Source organism: Homo sapiens, chromosome 3 (assembly GCF_000001405.40).
Source record: "Homo sapiens chromosome 3, GRCh38.p14 Primary Assembly".
Taxonomy (NCBI): Eukaryota; Metazoa; Chordata; class Mammalia; order Primates; family Hominidae; genus Homo; species Homo sapiens.
The window spans coordinates 193,705,575-193,712,730 of NC_000003.12; the positions used below are offsets into that span (position 1 = coordinate 193,705,575).

Genomic DNA, 7,156 nt, shown 5'->3' on the forward strand with positions numbered 1-7,156 from the left:
GTAAATAAGATATTCGTTGTGATGGAATAAATCGAACTGATTATTGTATTATTTTAAACATTTAATTAAATAGTTTGATTCTGGCACTAAACTTCTGAAGTATTTATTACAGAGCTTTACTAAAGATATAAAACACTTCCAGGGGAAAATCTTTGCCTTTTTTGGCATCTGGAGAGTTTCTCCATGAGGAAATTGCCTTCTTAGATGCCAGTGCTTACTCTGCACCAGCAGTTGGTAGAGTGTGGTCTTTGGGTCCCTGGGGGTCCTGAAGATTATTTCCATGGTCCACAAGGTCACCATGATTTTGATAATAATACTAATATTTGCCCTTTTCACTGTGCTGACATTCACTGGTTGTAGAAAAACCACAGCACACCACACTGGAGCCTCGGCATGAATCAAGGCAACGGCACTGCCGGTCCTAACAGGCACTATGTCATCTTCACTGCCGTGCACTCCCCTTTTTTCCAAAAAAAACACAGAAGCCTGGTACACAGAAAACATGTGCATATAAAGGATATTGGTGATCTTGAGGAAAAGTACTTGTATAATTGTTTAATTGGTGACGTAAATTACCACTTTTTTTTCAAGGAACACCATTTTGCTTAAAAGAATCACTGACAAACTACATAAGTCAGACTTGGTCACCTGGCAGCCATTTTCTCAAACTAAGCGGAGTGAGCCAGCCACTTCAAGGAAAACCACTTCTGTGCATTTATTGCCAATGATACAAATTACACATCTAAGCAAAAATGAACATTTTGAAAAACTTATATTGAGCTTGTCATTGAGCTTGACAGCTTTTCAGTGTATGTATTTCTGATGAGATAATGATATTAGTGGATGTGATTTTTGGATATTGTAAAGTGCGAAGTGTCAACAGTTGGAGGATCTGCATAACCGTGGGAACTGGTATTTCTCGAATGGTTAATGCGTTGTGGTAACAAATCAGGCATGGGTAAAGATGCCTACAAAATGGGAGCTGGACCAGAGGAGTTTAGGTCACAGAATATGGAGAAGTTCATTGATATGGTTTCGGATGCCACATTACAACTAACCTTTTTTAAGTGTGGGTGCAGTATCAGAGAAGACTCACAATTACCTGAAATGGCTCTTACATTCTTCTCTTTTTCAATTCCGTAACTGTGTGAGGCCAGGTTTTCTATATCTGTGTCAGCCAAAACAGCATATCACAATAGATTGAATGCAGAAGCAGGTAAGATAATCCGGTTATCTGCTATCAAGCCAGACATTAAAAAGAATTGCAAAAATGAAAGATGGTACTACTCTTGTTGCTATATTTGTTTTTCATCAGAAATGTTATTTATGTTAACATGTAATTGTTTTATTTTTTAAATAAATTGAGTAATATTTCTCAGTTATAATTTCTTTTTTCTTTTTCTTTTTTTTTCTTTTTTTTTTTTTTTTGAGACAGAGTTTCACTCTTGTCACCCACCCAGGCTGGAGTGCAGGGGCATGATCTTGGCTCACTGCAATCTCCACCTCCCAGGTTCAAGTGATTCTCCTGCCTCAGCCTCCCCAGTAGCTGGGACTACAGGCGCATGCCACCACACCCGGCTAACTTTTGTATTTTTAGTAGAGATGGGGTTTCACCATGTTGGCCAGGCTGTTCCCGAACTCCTGACCTCAAGTGATCCACCCGCCCCTGCCTCCCAAAGTGCTGGGGTTACAGGCATGAGCCACTGCACCCAGCCAGTTCTAATTTCTAATATAATAAATATCAACAGACATAACCTACACAAAAACTCCTGGGGTACTCAATAATTCTCAAGACATTAAACATTTGTCAATCACTGCTTTGTACTATGAGGCTTAGCTATAGGATCAGACCCTTTGTTTAAAATATCTGAAGCTCTGCACCATCCATGAAAATTACCTGTTGGCTTCTTTACCTGAAATCGGGATATATTTTATGTCAATGGCAAGTGCCAGAAGCCAGGCCAGCAAATGGCAGTGATACCTGGTATATTGGTTGCATGTCCAAATCAGCTGTACGACTCCACCGGACCTGTTCTCCCTAAGGACATGGTGGTGTCCATGTCATTACATTCATCGGATAGTTTTCAGGCCATATCTCACTTCACCCATTACTATATTCTGTAGCGTTGACCACTTCATCTTTGAAGTACTTGCTTCTCTTGGCTTCCATTACAGCACACACTTCTGATTTTCCTCCTACCTTCCTGGCTGTTCTTCCTCCTACCTTCCTGGCTGTTCTTCCTCCTCAGTGCTCTGTTCTGGTGCTCTTCCAACCGATATTCTCTTCCTAGATTTTATCCACTCCCATAGCCTCAACTCTCATTTAATCGCCAGTGCTTCCCGATGCCTATTCAACATTATCACTTGTACTTTTCAAAGATACCTTATAGCTAAAGTCATTATAATTCTTGCCCACCTGTACTCACTTCACTCTGCTCTGTTTCACTAAATGGGAATATCATTTACATCATTTACCTTTTTGCTCAAACCAAAAACTAGGGGTCACCCTTGACTCTTCCCCCAACCCCATGTCCACATCAAATCTCCACCATGGCCTATTAATTAGACACCCAAGCATCTCAAATCCATCCATGCCTTTCCGTCCACACTGTCACCATCTTGGCCCTAGTCATAATCTGCAGGGCCTCCTGACTCATTTGCTCTCTTGCTTTCCTCTGGCTTAGCCTCTGTATTATAGCCAGATCCTAGATGATTGTTATTCTTCTGCTTAAAGCCATGGTATGGATTGGCACTGTCCTGATAATGTTCAGAGTCATCAAGGGTTTTCAGGGCCCAGTGAGATCTGCCCCTGCCTTCTCCAGCCTCCTTTTTCCCTGTGCTTCAGACACTTGAGCTTTCGGGTCTATAAATACACTCTATGCTACCCTGGGCTTTTGTACGTCCTCTTCTCAACCCCGAACTCCCATCTGCCTAGCCAACTGCTACTTATCCTTAGGGCTCTGCTGAAATATCACCTCCTCTGGGAGCCCTTCCCTGACCTAGCTCCCAACTCAGACTAATCTAAGTTTTTGATATTCTCCTGTAGCACCCTAAACTTGGCCCTCTTTGTGCATGTGACATTCCCAGTTACTTACACGGTGTCCATCTTCCCATTTAGATTGTAGATTCTAAGAAATCAGAGACTGACTGCGCCTGATTTCCCCATAACACAGTCCTGGCACAATACATTGTGATCTAATGAATAAATAAGCTGATTTGAATGTCGGGGCTATAAAGGATTTTGAAGTCCCAATACATGTTCAAAAACATGGCATAAATGAATCCCTGAAGGAGAACATAGCAAAGCTAGTTTGTTACAGTTTACAAAGCTAGTTTGTTTGGATCTCTGAAGCAAACACTTCCAGGCCTCCTGATTTCTAGTAGGATTTTCTTCTCAGGATGTTATGCTCGTGAAGACCCTGGGCCCTGCAGGTCGCAGTACTGGGTTAAAATCCTGGCACTGCTGTTTTCTAGCTGTGCGGTGTCAAATTCTTCTCTAAGCCTTCATTTCCTCATTTCACACACACACACAAGTGTGTGTGTTTTCTATCTCGGGGCTTTGGGGTTAAAATTAGATAATATATTTTAAACACTTTCAAAGTGTCTGGCACATGGTGAGTGTCCAAAACTATTAGCTATTATTATGACACTATGTTGGTTTAAATTAAGATCCATCAATAATTGTTTCCAAACCAAAAACAAGAATGGCATCAGAAATATTGATGGAATTGGCCAGATGCGGTGGCTTATGCCTGTAATCCCAGCACTTTGGGAGGCCAAGGTCCAACATGGTGAAACCCCATTTCTACTACAAATACAAAAATTAGCCGGGCGTGGTGGCGGGTGCCTGTATTCCCAGCTACTCAGGAGGCTGAGGCAGGAGAATCGCTTGAACCAGGGAGACGGAGGTTGCAGTGAGCTGAGATGGCACAACTGCACTCCAGCCTGGGTGACGGAGTAAGACTCCATCTCAAAAACAAAAAAAAAGAAAAAGAAATATTGATGGAATCTTGCCCCTCTCCTGCACTGTCTACTCACCTATGCTGACACAAGTACAATTTATTCTCCAGAGGTGTTTCCTCCACTCTTTCTGCTAAGCAAAGGGTTAGCAGACATTTCAGTGGCCTCTGCTTCCAGTCAGGGCCCAGCTCTGCTCTGTGGAGCCACCGCTGCTCCAACTGCTCTGCTGGTGCTGGTGCTACGGGCTTGGGCCTGGAAGAGTGAACAGTCCAGTTCACAGCCCAAGTCCTGAGCATTCATGTCTGTTCAGGAGAGGCCCTTAAGGGTGTTGCCTGTGTGGCACCAACTCAATAAGCTGCACTTACAGATTCTGAAGAAAACGTAGGCTGTCATGTGGGTCTGTATTTTTCTTAAGAAGATGCAGAGGATTCAGGTCCAACTCATTTAGCATTGCTAAGTGAAACTCTTACCTTTGGCGCAGGGATGTTAATGATGACATTGTTAATGCGGCACACCAGTGTTTTTGTTCCAGGACCCACGGTTGATAGAGAACCCAGCATCAGGAAGAACTGCGCCACCCCTGAGCAAATGCTTTGTGCCTGCCTTCTATTGACCATTTTTCTCCTTTTACTTTGGCTGCTAGGAAGCCCAAAACTAAATTATCAGCCTATCCTTGCTCTCATATGGAGCCTTACATTATATGTCTTATAACCCCCTAGAAAGATGGACCCTTTCATCAGAAAAGCAGATTCAGTCCTTAATTTCATGGTATTAAATTTTTCCTTGACTTGATTTCACCTTGCTCCCTTTTTTTCCTCATGTAACTTTGATTTCTTCATCTGCATTATTGTGGGAATTTCCAAAAGTGACCTTAGATCCTTTTGTCCAATGAAGTAAAGTGTGAACTTAAACATGCAACTACCAGTGAGTCGGTCAGCAAGTTCCCTCGTGTGTACTGAAGGGAGTTCAGCAAGTTCCCTCGTGTGAAACTGCCCCTTTCTAAGGGGCAGGTTGCATGTCTGTAACTTCTTTCTTGTTATTTCTTTTAACTCTTCTATGACATAGGGACATGGATTAGTGAGGGAAAGCAGCATAGCAGTGCCTTATGAAAATCCAGTTCTTCTTCTAGTCTATGCGAATAGCCGAAAAGCCAGCAGGGACCCAGAGGCCGCGGAGCCGGACCGCAGAGTGGAGGCCAGGCCGGTGGGCAGGAGGAGGTGGGAACACCGAAGGCCGCCAGGACTGAATCCGCTTCTCTAATGAAAGGGCCCTTTTTTCCAGGGGATTATAAGAATATTCATGACCCTTGAGATCAGCAGGTGAGGCTCAGCCCTCCCTACTCATCCTTTGGGCAAATAGTTCAGAAAGCCGAGGTTGCCAGGATGAGAAAGAAACAGTGGGAGTTGGGAGCTCTTCCCGCTTCCCTTGGCCCCCAACCCCCTTTCATTTTCAGAGGAGGGCAGGGTGGGGGCACTTGTCCTGAGGTGAATCAAGGACTGTGTCTTTCATTTCCAAAGAGCAGGCAGCGAGGCTGAGGCAGAAGTCCCGTGACATGACTTGAGACACAAAATGGTATCTTAGCATCGAAGACTCCCTTTGACAAGAAGAAGAAAAGCCCTTTTCTTCCCAGCCCGGATTAGGCGAGGAGGGAATTCTCCGGAACATGTGTGCATTGTTTCGTGGAGGGCAGCCAGGCTGGCCTGGGGCTTGCCTCCCAAAGTCAGCCCAAGGAAGCTTGTCCTCGTGTAATTAAAAGGGAAGGGAAACAGCAGGGGGTCTTGTTCCGCTGCTGCCCACCAAAGTGGGGTCCCCGGGGGATGGTGCGGCCCAGGAAATTGGCTAAATTAATGGTTATGGGAGGCCTCCCTGAATGTGTGGGCCCTGGAGGCAGAAAGAGGGCAGGGCAGGGAGTCTCATCAGAGCCTTTCTGATAAAAATGGGAGAAAGAGAAATGCTCTCAGGGCAGGGGTGTCTAAGCTCTTGCCCCCTGACTGGGCATCCAGGCTGCCCTCGGGACACAGCACCTGAGGTGAGGGGTCAGCCCCTTGTGGAAAGCAGAGCCTCCGGGCAGTGTGTCCAGGCCCTCCCTGTCCAGCTGATGCAGGCTGGCCCCTCACATTCTCCAGCTGACAGCCAGGCCGGGAGCGAGGAGGTCACAGGTCATGGCCGGGCACTGGGGCCCTGGAGCTCACAAAGCGGGAGCTGCTTCCCTGGGCAACATGAGTTTCTGGAAAGCAGTCTCTTGTATTTGTCAATGGTACAGTGTCTCACTCAGAAATTATCGGGAAAAGTGAAACCCTGAACTGGAAGCCAACGTCTTAGGCATTTATAAGGTTTAACCCATTTATGAAGAAGAAATGTCCTTTCCTTATGAAAAAGAAAGCTTTTCTTCATGAAGAAATGCTTTATAATCGCCATTTCCTGAAAGCTTCCATTCAAAAAGGTGAACTCCATGCTTCATTTTTGCCAACTCACTTCTCTCCAAATCTTGTAGACTGGATTACAGAGGACATCGGGCAATCTTAATCAGCAGTCTGGAGATTCATGACCCCTCTCCACAGCCTGACTCCAGGGTACACGGGTAAGATAATAGTGACAACAGCCATGAAACGAAGGGGGCTGGTTTTCCATGACCCCACACATTCTGCCTAAGGCCACGCACCTCCCAAAGGCCACGATGGATGAGCAGGCGGGCCTGGGCACTCAGGTTTTTCTGGTAAGTGACGAATCTAAGTCAATATTGCAAAGTAGACGTGGCTCCCCTGGCTCTGCAAATATTGGACCAAAGACTTGAGTGAGGCGATGCTATTGACGATTACGAGATGGTAGCATTGTTGTCTTTGTTGCCATGAAGTGCAGCTCGGTGGAGCCTGGCCTAACATCCTGTGTACACAGAGGGGACAGTGTGCTCGGAGGCCCGTGTGTTTGCTCTGCCAATATGCGCCAGTGGCCAGCCCTCGAACACTCCCCCATCCCATGGTTACAGCTGGGGGTGTTGGAAACATACCGCCCTCTCCTCTACGCCCCAGGGGGCTGCCGAACAGTGTCTAAGCCACATGATTTTCTTATTTTAGTTCTTTTTTAAAAATATTTGTTTGAAGTACAGTGTACATGTATCATCCCTATAGCTTGATGAATTTTCACAAACTGCCACAGCCTTGTGTTGAGCACCCAGGACAAGAAATTGAATATTTCC

General features: G+C 45.3%; 2 annotated features.

Annotated features, from left to right (window-relative positions):
* Nucleotides 4,636–5,571: an enhancer, noted in NCBI's record as "H3K4me1 hESC enhancer chr3:193427999-193428934 (GRCh37/hg19 assembly coordinates)". NCBI's record gives its function as "activates a minimal SCP1, AML or CMV promoter by ChIP-STARR-seq in primed H9 embryonic stem cells {active_cell/tissue: H9 hESC(primed)}" and the evidence as "EXISTENCE:reporter gene assay evidence [ECO:0000049][PMID:30033119]".
* Nucleotides 5,572–6,506: an enhancer, noted in NCBI's record as "H3K4me1 hESC enhancer chr3:193428935-193429869 (GRCh37/hg19 assembly coordinates)". NCBI's record gives its function as "activates a minimal SCP1, AML or CMV promoter by ChIP-STARR-seq in primed H9 embryonic stem cells {active_cell/tissue: H9 hESC(primed)}" and the evidence as "EXISTENCE:reporter gene assay evidence [ECO:0000049][PMID:30033119]".